Source organism: Homo sapiens, chromosome 2, assembly GCF_000001405.40.
Source record: "Homo sapiens chromosome 2, GRCh38.p14 Primary Assembly".
In the NCBI taxonomy this organism is placed as follows: Eukaryota; Metazoa; Chordata; class Mammalia; order Primates; family Hominidae; genus Homo; species Homo sapiens.
In genome coordinates this window covers 199643420-199658486 of record NC_000002.12, presented here as the reverse complement: position 1 = coordinate 199658486, position 15067 = coordinate 199643420, and the positions used below count along the sequence as shown (strand labels likewise).

General features: G+C 35.9%; 1 long non-coding RNA gene across 1 annotated transcript in view; it reads right to left on the bottom strand.

Moving 5' to 3' along the window:
• LINC01877 (long intergenic non-protein coding RNA 1877) overlaps positions 1 to 15067 on the bottom strand; it is a 51065-nt gene that overhangs the window by 646 nt on the left and 35352 nt on the right. Inside the window, exon 6 of the long non-coding RNA NR_110270.1 lies at positions 10631 to 10813. This is a non-coding gene — a long non-coding RNA (long intergenic non-protein coding RNA 1877). The remainder of the gene's footprint in view (positions 1 to 10630; positions 10814 to 15067) is intronic.

Here is a 15067-nt window from a genome sequence, read left to right as displayed (position 1 = left end):
CATGTTTTCAGATTGATTTGTATTGCCTGTATCAGTAGGTTACATTTAGGCTGTTCACAACTTTTGGTTATTATGAATAAAGCTACTATGAACGTTTATGTACTGGTCTTTGTGAGAACATAGGTTTCATTTTTCTTGGGTAAGTACCTAAAAGTGAAATTGATGGGTTCTATGATAAGTATATATTCAACTTTATAAGAAACTGTCAGATTGTTTGTCTAAAGTGGTTGCATCATTTTTTACTCTCACTGACACTTGCTGACACTTGGTATTAGTACTCTTGTTAAAATAAGCAAAAGAAGTAAAAAGCTGAAGAATCTAAAAAACCAACAACTCTTCTTGTATCTGTAAGAGGAGTGAGGACACAGGGAAAACTTCAAAATTGGAAAGACCGGCAGGGGAACACAGAGAATCACAATTTACTAGAATAGACACCCACAAACAGAAACCTCCATATTCTGTTCTTCTTAACAAGGCCTGTCCTCAGGAGAAACTATTTTATCAGACCCGAATCTGCTGGGGTTTAATCAGAGCCTTACCCACCAAGGGGAAGAGAAATGCACAACTCCAGTTTTCCACATGGAAAAGGAGAAATACCCAACTCCAACTTTTTCCACCCATCCTGTCTCACAGGGAGAGGGCAGAAAACTGAGAAGCACTGGTAAAGGTCATAGTTCAGGGGCACAGCCTCCCTAAAAGACTGAGAACTAATCACAGGAATATAGAAAACCACTTTGCCTTACTACCATATTATTAAAGGCCTATTTACCCTATACATCATTTTACCCCACGAATCATGTCTACCTTTTAACAGAAAAATTATAAGGTATCCAAAAAGGCAACAAGTATGGTTTGAAGAGACTGACAAGCATCAGAACCAGAGTTAGATACATCAGAAATGTTGATATTTAACCAGGAATTAAAACAAATAATTACTAGTATGCTAAGAGCTTTAATGGATAAAGGAGACAACATGCAAGAACAGGTAAATAATGTAAGCAGAGAGATGGAGATTCTAAAAAAGAGTAAAAACATGTACTAGAGATAAAAAATACTGTAGCAGAAATGAAAAATGCCTTTCATGGGCTTATCAGTAGACTGGACATTCCTGAGGAAATAATCTGTGAGCTTGAAGATATATGACAACAGAAACTCCCAAAACAGAAAAGCAAAGAGAAAAGAGACTGAAAAAACAGAACAGAATATCCAAGGACTGTAGGACAACTAAAAAAAGGTATACCATTTGTTTAATGCAAATACCAGATGGAGAAAAAAGGGAAAAGGAACAGAAGAAATACTGGAAGCAATAATGACTGAGAATTTCCTTAAATTAATGTCAGATGCCAAACCATAGATCCAGGAACCTCAGAGAACACCAAGCAGGATAATTGCCAAACAAAATCTGGGCATTTTATATTTCAAATTTCAGAGAATCAAAGATTTTTTAAAATTTTTGAAAGAAGCCAGAGTAAAAACTCCTTACCTAGAGAGGAGCAAAGGTAAGAATTGTCTCCATCTCCCCGAAAACTATACAAGCAAGAAGAGAGTGGAGTGAAACATTTAAAGAATTAAAGAAAAAAACCCCATCAACCCTGAATTTTGTACCCTATAAAATTATTCCCAAAACTGAAAGAAAAATCAATAATTTCTCAGCAAAACAAAAATGAGGACATTTGCTGCAAATATACCTGCCTTGCAAGAAATGTTAAGAAAAGTTCTTTAGAGAGAAGAAAAATTATATAGGTCAGAAATTCAAATCAACATAAAGGAACAGCATGGGGGAATGTGTAAGTGAAAGTAAAATAAAAACTTATTTTACTTATTCTTAATTAATCTAACACAACAATTTGTTCAAAATAATATCAACAATGTATTCAATTTTATAGATATAAATATAGATATGTTTACATATAAGTAAAATGAATGACAGCAATGAGGCAAGGGAGGGAAGGGAAGAATTGGAAATATCCTGTTATTACAAAGAATAACAGACAATAAATTGTGACAGAGCAAGACCCTGTTTCAAAAAACAAAAAGAAAAAAAAAGAAATTGCACTATGGTGAAGTTGTGTAGTGTTTTTTTAAAGTGGGCTTGGATTTGTTGTGAATGTATATTGCACACTTTAAGACAACCACTAAAAGAGAAAAAAAAGAAGCATGATGAAGCGTGACTAATATGCTAAGAAAGGAGAGAAGATGGAATTATATAAAATACTAAATTAAAACAACAAAAGGCAGAAAAACTATGGAAGACAAAAATAAAAACAAAGAAAAATGGCAACAGATAGAAAACAGTAAAAATGTAGTAGATATTCATCCAACTATATTAATAATCACTTTAAGTGTCAATAGTCTAAATAAACCAATTGAATGGCAGAGATTGATGAGTAGATTAAAAAAAAAGACCCAACTACACGTTGTCTGCAAGAATTCCACTTTAAATACAAAGACATATATAGATTAAAAGTAAAAGAAGGAAGATAGATATACCATGCTAATACTAATTTAAAAAGTAAAAGTAGCTATATTAATTTCAGACAGAGCAGACTTCAGAGCAAGGAAAGTTATCAGGGATAAAGAGGAGCATTATATAATGATGAAGAGGTCAGTTCTCCAAGGAGATATAAAAACTTTAACATATATGACAACAGATTGTCAAAATATGTGAGACAAAAACTGATAGAACTGCAAGGAAAAATAGATGAATTCACTCTTGTACTTACAGACTTTAACACTCTGTCAGAAATGAACAGATCCAGCAGGCAGAAAATCAATAAGGACATAATTTAACTCAACAGCCCCATCAGTCAACTGTATATAATTGACATCTATAGACTACTACATCCAACAACAACAGTTTACACATTTTTCTTAAATTCACATGGAACATTTATCAAGATAGATCAAATTCTGGGCTGCTGAAAATACACCTTTAGAAATTTAAAATTACAGAAATTAAAAAATGTCTGCCCTCAGACCACAGTGGAATTAAACTAGAAATTGACAACAAAAAGGTAGCTGGGAAATCCCCAAATACTTGGAGATTAAACAACATGTTTCTAAATAACACGTGCTCAAAGAAGAAATTTCAAGAGAAGTTTAAAGATATTTTGAACTAAATGGAAATGAAAATACAACTTATCAAAATTTGGGGAATGACGTGAAAGCAGTGCTTAGAAGGAAATTTATAGCATTGAAAGCATATATTAGAAAAAGGAAAGATTCAATAATCTAAATCTCCACCTTAGGAAACTAGGAAAAGAATAAAAATTAAATCCAAAGTAAGCAGAAATAGTAAAAAATAAGTGCAGAAATCAGTGAAATTTAAAACCAGGAAATCAACAGAGAAAAACCAGCAAAACCAGAAGCAAAAGGCCAGAAGCTGGTTTTTTTTAAAAGATCAATACAACTGATAAGCCTCTAGCCAGGCTAAGAAAAAAAGAAGGAAGACACAAATATTAGTATCAAAAATGAAAGACGAAACATCAGTACAGACCCCATAGACATTAAAATGATAATTAAAATGATAATAAATAAATATTATGATCAACTCTATACTCAATAAATTGATAACCTAGATGAAATAGACCCATTTTTTGGAAGACACAAGTTTTCAAAACCCAAACATGAAGAAATAGACAATCTAAATCGTCTATAGCTATTAAAGAAGTTAAATCAATAATAATATTCTAAAAAAGAAATGACTCATCTGTCATGAACCTACCATGACAGATGGGTTCACTGGTGAATTCTACAAAATATTTAAGAAGGAAATTACATCAATTTTCTGCAATCTCTTCCTAAGGAGAGAAACAGAGGGAATACTCTTTCTATGAGACCAGCATTACCCTAAGACAAAAATCACATAGACATTACAAGAAAGGAAAACTGAAGACCAATACCTCTCATGAATTTATAAATGCAAAACTCCTCAACAAAATATTAGCAAATTGAATCCAATAATTTAAAAAAAGAAATATACAATATGACCAATTGGAATTTATCCCATGTATGCAAGGCTGATTTAACATTTGAAAACCAATTAATGTAATTCATCACATCAAAAAGCAAAAGAAAAAAAATCACATAATCATATTAATAGGTGCAGAAAAAGCATTTGATAAAAATCTAACCCCCATTCATTATAAAAATTCTCAGCAAACTAGGAATAGAGTGCGAATTTCCTCAGCTTGGTAAAAAATAGCTACAGAAACCTATATCTAACATTATACTTAATGGTGACTAAGATTGGGAATAAGGCAAGCATGTCCTCTTTCATCAGTGCTTTTCAACATTGTACTGGTAGTCCTTGCTAACACAATTAAAGAAGAAAATGAAATAAATAAATATTATAGAGACTGAGATTAAACAAGTAAAATTTTCTTTGTTTGAAGATAACATGATTTCTTACATAAAAAATCTGAGAGTCAACAACAAAAACTCCTGGAACTTATAAATGATTATAGAAAGCTTGCAAAATACAAAGTTAATATACAAAAGTCAATTGCTTTCTTATATACCAGCAATGAACAAGAGGAATTTGAAATTAAAAACATATATCAATTCTTTTCAACTTGATCTATAGGTTTAATGCAATCTCAATAAAAATCTCAGCAAGTTATTTTATGAATATCAGCAAACCGATTCTAAAGTTTATATGCAGAGGCAAAAGACCCAGTCAACTCAATATTGCAGGAGAAGAACAAAGTTAAAGGACTGACACTACCCAATTTCAAGACTTACTATACAGCTATAGTATTCCAGATAGTGTGGTGTTGTTGAAAAAACAGATAAACAGACCAATAGGCAAGAACAGAGAGTCCAGAAATGGCTGAAAACTCCCCAAATTTGGGGAGAGAAATGGACATCTAGATTCATAAGGTGCAAAAATCCCCAAATAGTTTGAACCAGAAAAGGAATACACTGAGACACAGTATAATTAAGTTGTCAAAAAGACAAAGATAGAGAAAATTTTGAAATCAGGAAGAAAAAATTGACTCACATCACATACAAGTAAAGTACCATAAGACTATCAGACAATTTTTGAGCAGAAACTTTGCAGGCCAGGACAGAGTGGGATGATATATTCAAAGTGCTGAAAGGGGGGGAAACTGTCAACCAAGAATGCTTTATCTGACAACGTTGTTCTTCAGAAATGAAAGAGAGATGAAGACTTTACCAAACAAACAAAAACTGGAGGCATTCAATACCACTAGACTTGACTTACAAGAAATAATAAAGATGCCAGGTACAGTGGTTCATGCCTGTAGCCCCAGCACATTGGGAGTCTGAGGTGGGAGGATCACTTGAGCTTGGGAGGTCGAGGCTACGATGAGCTGTGATTGTGCCATTGCACTTCACATGGGCAACAGAGAAAGACTTTGTCTCAAAAATAATAGGAAAAAATTGACCAGGTTTGGTGGCTCATGCCTGTAATCTCAGCACTTTGGGATGCTGAAGTAGGTGAATCACTTGAGGTCAGGAGTTTGAGACCAACCTGGCCAACATAGCGAAACCCCGTCTCTACTACAAATACAAAAAACTTTAGCCAGGGGTGGTGGCAGATGTCTATAATTCCAGCTACTCAGGAGATTGAGGCAAGAGAATTGCTTGAACCTGGGAGGCGGAGATTGCAGTGAGCTGAGATCATGCCACTGCATCCCAGTCTGGGCAACAGAGTGAGACTCTGTCTCAAAAAAAAAAAAAAAAGGAAAAAAATAATAAAGGAAGTTCTTCAAACTGAAAAGAAAAGGATGCTAATTAAAAATGTAAAAACATGACTGTACAAAGCTCATTAGCAAAAAAAGTATAGTTAAATTCAGAATTCTGTAATATTGTAATTGTGCATAAACTGCTTTCAACTCTAGTAAAAGAGTGAAAGACAAATGTATTTTTGAAGCCACAGTAATTTGTTAATGGATACATAATATTTAAAAATTTACATTGTAGCATCAATAAGTTGAAATGTGTGTGGAGGGGAAGTAAAGTATACAATTTGTATATGCAAATGAAGTTGTATGACCTTAAAATTGGTTGTTATAACTATAATGTTTTATGCAGCCTCATGGTAACCACAATAAAAAAACCTGTAGTAGATATACAAAAGATTCGGAGAAAGAAATCAGAGCCTGTCACCACAGAAGTAATCAAATTGTAAGGGAAGACAGCAAGAGAGAACGAAAGGAACAAAGGAAATACAAAACAGTCAGAAAACAATTAACAAAATGTCAATAGCAAATCCTTACCTATCAATAATTACTTTAAATATAAATGAATTAAATTCTTCAATCAAAAGACATAGAGTAGCTAGATGGATTAAAAAAAAAAAAAAACAAGATCCAAGTACATGCTTCCCACAAGAGACTCACTTTAGCTTTAAGAACATGCATAGGCTGAAAGGTGAAAAAAATAGAAAAAAAAATTCCATGCAAATGGTAACCAAAAGAAAGCAGGATGGCTATACTTACATTAGAAAAAAAGAGCCTTTCAATAAAAAACTGTCAACAGAGACAATAGATCATCACAGAGTGTTAAATGGGTCAACTCATCAAGAATATATAACAATTATAACTATATCTGCACTAAATGTAAGAGCACTTAACTATATAAAACAAATATTAAAATAACTGAAAGGAGAAATAAACAGCAATATAGTAACAGTAGAATACTTTAATACCCCACTCTCAACAATGGATAGATCAACCACATAGGAAAATCAATAAGCAAGCAGTGGATTTGAATACCATTGTATAATCAATGGACCTAACAGACACATATAGGACATTTTATCCAACAGCAACAGAGTATACCTTTTTCTCAAGTGCATATGGGACAGTCTCCAGGATAAATTATGTGTTTCAAGAAGACTGAAATCATATCAAGTATCTTTTCTGACCACAAAGGTAGGAAACTAGAAATCAGTAACAAGAGGAAAATTAGAAAATTCACAAATCCATGGAAATGAAGCAACATGCTCCTGAATGACCAACAGGTCAAAAATAAATCAAAAGGGAAATTAAAGCTATTATGAGAGAAACAAAATTGAAAACACAACAAACTAAAAGATATGGATGCACCAAAAGCAGTTCTAAAAGGAAAGTTTAGGCTGGGCGTGATAGCTCACACCTGTAATCTCAGCACTTTGGGAGACCAAGGCGGGTGGATCACCTGAGGTCGGGAGTTTGAGACCAGCCTGACCAATATGGTGAAACCCCATCTCTACTAAAAATACAAAATTAGCCAGGCATGGTGGCACATGCCTGTAATCCCAGCTACTCGGGAGGCTGAGGCCGGAGAATTGCTTGAACCCGGGAGGAAGAGGTGGTGATGAGCCGAGATTACGCCATTGCATTCCAGCCTGGCAACAAGAGTGAAACTCTGTCTCAAAAAAATAAATAAATAAAAAATAAAAGGAAAGTTTATAGCTATAAATGCCTATATTTAAAAAGAAAGATATCAAATAAATAATCTAACTTTACACTTTAAGGAACTAGCAAAACAAGAACAAACCAAGCCCAAAGTTAGCAGAAGAAAGAAAATAATAAAGATTAGTGCTAAAATAAATAACACAAAAACAGAGAAACAATGAAAAAGAATAAAACGAAGAGTTAGTTTTAACAAAAATAAACAAAATTGATACACCTTTAGCTAGACTAACCAAAAAAAGGGATGACTCAAATAAATAAAAAGAACAAAGAGGAGACATTACAAATGATACCACAGAAATACAAAAAGGACCACTATGGACAACTATATACCAATGAATTGTATAACCTAGAAGAAATGGATAAATTCTTAGAAACATATGATCTATGGATACTGAATCAGAATCATGAAAAAAATAGAAAGCCTGAACAGACCAATAACAAATAAGAAGATTGAATTGGTTATCAAAAACCTCCCAACAGGCCAAAGCCCAGGAGCATAAGTCTTCACTGGTGATTTCTACCAAAATTTAAAGAATAGTTGATGCTAAGTGTTCTTCACTTCTCTTAAAAAATTGAAGAGGAAGAAACAGTTTCAACCTCATTTTATGAGGCCAGTATTATCTCCATAATAAAGCTAGATAAAGACATTACAAGAAAAGAAAAGTACAGGTCAATATCCCTGATGAACATAGATGCCAAAAATTTTGACAAAATACTAGCAACCAAATTCAACAGCACATTAGAAGAATCATACAGCATGATCATGTGAGACTTATCCCCATAATGCAAGGATGCTTCATCATGCACAAATCAATAAATGTGATATACCATATTAACAAAATGATGGATAAAAAGCATGATTATCTCAATACATGCATAAAAAGCATTGACAATATTCAACATCTTTTTATGATAAAACCTCTCAACAAATTGATATAAAAATAATGCACCTTAACATAAAAAGGCCATACATGTAAAACTCACAGATAATATTATATACTCAACTATGAAAAACTAAAACCTTTTCCTGTAAGATCAGGAATAGGACAAGAGTGCTCACTCTCACCAATTCTATTCAACATAGTACTGGAAGTTCTAGCCAGAGAAATTAGGCAAGGAAAAGAAATAAAAGGCATCCAAATCAGAAAGGAAGAAGTAAAATTATTCTGTTTACAGATAACATGATTTTATATATAGGAAATCCTAAAGACCATACCAAACAACTTTAGTATCTAAAACTAAACTAAAATTAATAAATGAATTCAGTAAAGTTGCAGGATACAAAATCAATATACAAAATCGTTGAATTTCTACACATTAATGACAAAAATATCTGAAAAAGGTATAAAGAAAAGAATTCCATTTATAATAGCATCAAAACATAAAATACTTAAGAAAAAATTTAAGGAAATGAGAGATATATGCACTGAAAACTATAATATATTGATGGAAGAAATTGATGAAGGCACAATTAAATGGAAAGATATCCCATGTTCATGGGTTGGAAGAATTAGTACTGTTAAAATGCCCATACCACCCCAAGTTTTCTATAGATTCAATAGAATCCCTATCAAAATTTCAATGGCATTTTTTTTGCAGAAATAGAACAAACAATTTTAAAGTTCATATGGAATCAAGAAAGACCCTGAATAGCCAAAGAAATCTCGAGAAGGAATAAAACTGGAGGCATCATCACACTTCTTGCTTTCAAACTGTATTACAAAGCTGTAGTAATAAAAGCAATATCTTACTGGCATAAAATCAGACACTCAAAATAATCAAAAATAAAGTTATTCCATATTTATCCTGGAATAAATCCTGTTCATATGCCAATGGAATAATAGCCCAGAAATAAACTTATGCATATATGGTCAAATAATATTTGATAAGGGTATCAAGAATAACAAGGGGAAAGGATGGTCTTTTCAACAAATGGTGTTGTGTTGAGAAAACTGTAATGTCCACATGTAAAAAAATGAAATCGGACCCCTATCTAATAACACTCACAAAAATTAACTCAAGATAGATAAAAGACTTAAACATAAGACCTGAATCTATAAAACTCATAGACAAAAACATAGGAGAAAACCTTCTTGACAATGATCTTGGCAGTGATTTTTTGGATATGATACAAAAAGCATAGGCAACAAAAGTAAAAATAAACAAGTGGAAATACATCAAACTAAAAGTTTCTGCACAGCAAAGGAAACAAGTAAAAGGCCACCTATAAAATAAAAGAAAATATCTGCAAACCATATATCCAGTAAGGGGTTAATATCTAAGATACATAAAGAACTCATACAACTCAGTAAAAAAACAAAACAAAACAAAACAAAATAACAACAATACAAATGGCCAATAGGTATATGAAAAGGTGCTCCATATCACTGATCAACAGAGAAATGCAAATCAAAACCACATAGAGGTATGAGGTACTACCTCACATCTATTAATATGGCTACTATTAAAAAAGACAAGAGATACAAGTGTTGATGAAGATGTGGAGAGAAGAGAACCTTGTGCACTGTTGGTGGGAATGTAAATTGGTATAGCCATTATGAAAACAGTATAGAGGTTTCTCAAAAAATTAATAATAGAACTGTCATTGATCAAGCAATCCCACTCATGGAAGTATATCCAAAGAAAATGAAATTTGTATGTCAAATATAGATATCTGCACTCCCATGTTCATTGCAGAATTATTCACAACAGTCAAGACAGGGAAACAACCTAAGTGTCTGTTGAGAGATGAATGAATTTTATACATACATGATGAAATATTATTTAGTCATAAAAAGGAATAAAATCCTATCGTTTGGGGGAAATGAGAAGATGTTGGTCAAAGCATACAAATGTTCAGTTATAAGATGAATAAATTTTGGAGATCTGATCTACAACAGGTGACTATAGTTAACAATAGTGTATTGTATATTTGAAAATTTCTGAGTGTTGTAGATTTCAAGTGTTGTCACTACACAAAATCATAATTCTGTGAAGTGATAGATGTGTTAATTAACCTGATTGTGGTAATTATCTCACATCGTATGTGTATGTCAAATCATTACATTATACACCTTAAATATATACAATTTTATTTGTCAATTACACCTCAATAAACTAGGTTAAAAACAACAACAACAAAAAAAAACTGATTACTTGTAAACCAGCAAGCACCATGACCTCATCTAGGGCAAATTAGGTACCTCTGCAGCCAGGTGATGCTGTCTTGCAATAGAGTCCTTTGGCTTTTTCTGGATACCATAAGTTTACCAGTAGATGTGATGATGGGTTGTCCTTTCCAGCCAGGTCACAAACAGCCACAGTTAATGTTCTTCAAATCAGCAAGTGCATTTTTAGCTTCAAGTCTCATTCATGCCATTTCCTCCCTATCAAGAATAGCTTTATATCAGTCAGAATCCTGGCAACAGGATCACTACATAATTTTCAGGGCCCACTGAAAGAAGAAAATGCAGGGCCTCTTGTTCAAATATATTAAGAATTCCAAGACTGTTGCAGAAGAGCATTAAACCAAGCATGGGACCTTTCTGAGCATGGAGCCCCATGTGACTGCACAGGAAACAGACAGCACATTCACCTGGAATTTTGAGGTGACTTTTAAGTTAAGGGATAATTTGCAGAGATGTGTGCAGAGCTGAGAAATCAATAATGAATATTGAAGTACCAAGACATTAGCTAGCAGCAGCAGCAAACTTTTGCCACCCTAGGCCTGAAGGGACACAGGAGAATAAGGAGTGGCCAGAACCTCATTGAGAGCTAAAGCAATAAATAAACAGCTACCCCCAAATAGATGTAGCTATAGAGAAACAAAACTACTGCCAGAATTATGGCAACACACAGAGGAAGTGGGAAAAATAATAACCTGTTATCTCTCCCTTTCCACCTTCAATGTCCAGGTGGTACCTATTATTGGCTGAGTCCAACCAGAAGCCAGAGGGCAAGGGAGCCAGCCCCTGGGTAATCTGGTTTCTGGACAGCCTCGTGGAGACTGGAAGAGAATAAAGAAAAATGGAGAGTGAATCTGGAAGCAAATATTTTAACCAGCACGATTTTCAACTGTTTTGTCTGTTTACACATTTTCCATTCTTTAGAAGAATTCTCATCAGCTTCAGCTACATGTTAGAATTATCTGGGGAGCTTTAAAAACTTTTATCACCTAGGTTCTAATCCTGGAGATTCTGGTTTAAATGATCTGGTGTACAGTTTGGATATCAGGATGTCTAAAGTCTTCCCAGGTGTTTCTGATGGGCAGCCAAGGTTGAGCTTTAGAGCAGTGTTTCTCAATCTCAGCAGACTGACATTTTGGGCCAGATAATCTTTTGTTGTGGAGGGATGTCCTGCACATTGTAGAATGTGTCTTTCATCCACCAGATGCCAGTAGTTCCCCCACCCACACTTTGTGACCACCGAAAATATCTGCAGACACTGCCAAATGTCCCCTGGGAGCAATGTTGCTTGCCCCACCCCTGTTTGAAAACCACTGCTTTGGAACAGGGGTTCTCAGAGTGTGGTCCCTGCACTGGCAGCATCAGCAGAGCAGGTGGAGGTGAGGTTGAGAAGTTGTTAGAAACGCAAATTCTCAGCCCCCATCTCAGAATTAACTGCATAGAAAACTCTGGGGTGGGGCGCCAGATAATTCTGATGCATGCTCAAGTTAGAACCACTGCTTTAGAGCCTGAATTGAGTTTCTATTCTTCAGAAAGGACTTTAAAAAACAAAATCTGTGTCAGCTTTTACCTATAAACTTGTACCTTTTATTTGAACTTCTAGGGTACTATTTTCTGTATTTCTCATGTTAATAATCATATGTTTGTTACCAAATCAGTAACTTTGACACTGGGTTATTTTAGGCAAGTTTCTTCTCCTTAACAAGATTTCGTGCTCTTCAAGAACAAGGACTGCCAAGATGACACTCAGCAGACTTTACAGCCTAGTCCTGCTTGGGGAGGAGGTGGAGGTCACCTGGGGAAATGACTCTATGAGAACTGACCTTAAATTCACTCATTTCCCAGGTAAGCACTTAGAAGTGTATCAGGGAAATGCTTCTCAGACTTTCATGTGCAAATAAATCTGGAGATGTTAAAATGCAGATTGTGGATCACAACATACTTTCAGTGGCAAAGTGCTTAGGTGCTCACCAGTCAGTCACTTGCACCTAGTAAGTCAGACAGTCCAACAGTCAGAGACTACAGAACAACTGGGTGGTGCTGGAGGTTAAAACCTTCCTGAAAATGGCAAAAGGAGCTTCTAGAAGGACCCAAAATGATTCATACCCTTGTTAGCTGATTTCATTTGGCAGTGATTGGTCATCTTAATATAGTTACGTTCTTGTAGCTTTTACCGATATTAAAGGAACTTTGTTCTTTGTGCCTTCTAGTACCTTTCTGTCAACCACTGAGCCCTTGCAACAACTGTCAAAGTCTATATAGCATTCTTTTGCTTTCTCTCAACTCCAATTTAGTGTTATATATTTGATCAATACTTAATAAAATAGATGAATAGGAGGGGGGATCATGGCAGATGGGAGGCAGGACTAGATTACAGCTCCCACTTGGACAGACAGAGCAGTGTTTGGAGGTTCACACTGAATTTTTGCTCCAAAACAACTGCAGAAACAAATCAGAAAACCTGAGAGGACCCACCCTGAAGGAATCAGAATGCTCCTGAAGGACCCAGGAGACACCCCATATACTGTGAGTGTCCAAACTGTAGAACTGGGAAAGGGAGATCATCCACCTCTGAACACACACCCCCACTGGGGAAATGGAAGTCCTAGGTTACAGAAGATTTTGACCTTACCTGGAGTTGAGTCAATTTAGAGAGTCGAGAGAAATACAGGGGTAGAGGAAACAGCAGGAAAAGCCATGGCAGCTCTGTGAGTCCCCTAGCAAGCTGTTTTTGCCTGGCCTCACAGGGGTCCTTTGGGAGGGTGGCCAGAGGTGATGGGAAAAGGCCACAGGGAGAAGGAAATCTCCAGCAGAACTTTGTAACACTTTGAACTGATTGAGAGGCCTCCTGGCCAGAACTTGGGGAGGGCGTGAAGCCGGTGTGCAGACTCCACAGGCAGAGGAAGAAGGAAAGCCATATTTGCTTCTGCAGCTGGGTATGTGGCCCTGCTCACCCACTGCCTGGAAACAGACTTGATGTTGTTGTGGGGAGCATGGTGGGAGTGAGACTGGCCTTTCAGATTGTGTGGGAGCTGGGTGAGGCCTGTGACTGCTGGCTTTCCCCCACTTCCCTAACAACTTTCATGACATAGTAAAGACAGTCGTAATCCTCCGAGGGCTATAACTGCATTGACCTGGGAACCTCACCCCCATCCCCAACAGCAGCCGCAGCAAGACCCACCCAAGGAGAGTCTGAGCTCAGACATGCCTAGCTCTACCCCCACCCGGTGGTCCTTCCCTACCCACCAAAGACAAAGGGCATATACTCTTGGGAGTTCTAAGGCCCTGCCCACCACCTGTTCCCCACCTTACTACCACAGCTGATGCTCTCTGGAAAGTGCCATCTCCTGGCAGGAGGCCAGCCAGCACAAAAATAGTGCATTAAACAACCAAAGCTAAGGACCCTTACAGAGTCCATTTCACCCCCCTGCCACTTCCATCAGAACAGGTGCTGTTATCCATGGCTGAGAGACCCACAGACAGTTCACATCACAGGACTCTGTGCAGACAATCCCCAGTACCAGCCTAGAGCCTGGTAAACTTGCTGGGTGGCTAGATCCAAAAGCAAGAAAACAATCACTACAGCTTGGCTCTCAGAAAGACACATCCATAGGAAACGGGGGAGACTACTACATCAAGGGAACATCCTGTGGGACAAAATAATCTGAACAACAGCCTTTAGCCTTAGACCTTTCATCTGACAGAAACCACCCAAATGGGAAGAAACCAGAAAACCGACTCTGGTAATACGACAAATGAGGTTCTTTAACATTCCCCCCAAATCACACTAGCTCACCAGCAATGGACCCAAACCACGAAGAAATCCCTGATTTACCTGAAAAAGAATTTAGGAGGTTAGTTATTAAGCTAATCAGTGAGGGACCAGAGAAAGGCTAAGCCCAATGCAAGGAAATCCAAAAAATGATACAAGAAGTGAAGGGAGAAATATTCAAGGAAATAGATGGAATAAATAAAAAACATTCAAAACTTCACAAAATAATGGACACACTTTTAAAATGCAAAATGCTCTGGAAAGTCTTAGCAATACAATTGAACAAGTAGAATAAAGAAATTCAGAGGTTGAAGACAAGGTCTTCAAATTAACCCAATCTAACAAAGACAAAGAGAAAAGAATAAGAAAATATGAACAAAGCTTCCAAGAAATATGGGATTATGTTAAACAACCAAACCTAAGAATAATTTGTGTTCCTGAGGAAGAATAGAAATCTAAAAGTTTAGAAAACTTATTTGGAGGAATAATTGAGGAAAACTTCCCCAGCCTTGCTAGAGACCTAGATAGCCAAATACAAGAAACACAAAAATACCTGGGAAATTCATCGCAAAAAGATCATCACCTAGGCATATTGTCCTCAGATTATCTAAAGTTAAGACAGAGGAAAGAATCCTAAGAACTGTGAGACAAAAGCACCAGGTAACCTATAAAGGAAAGCCTAT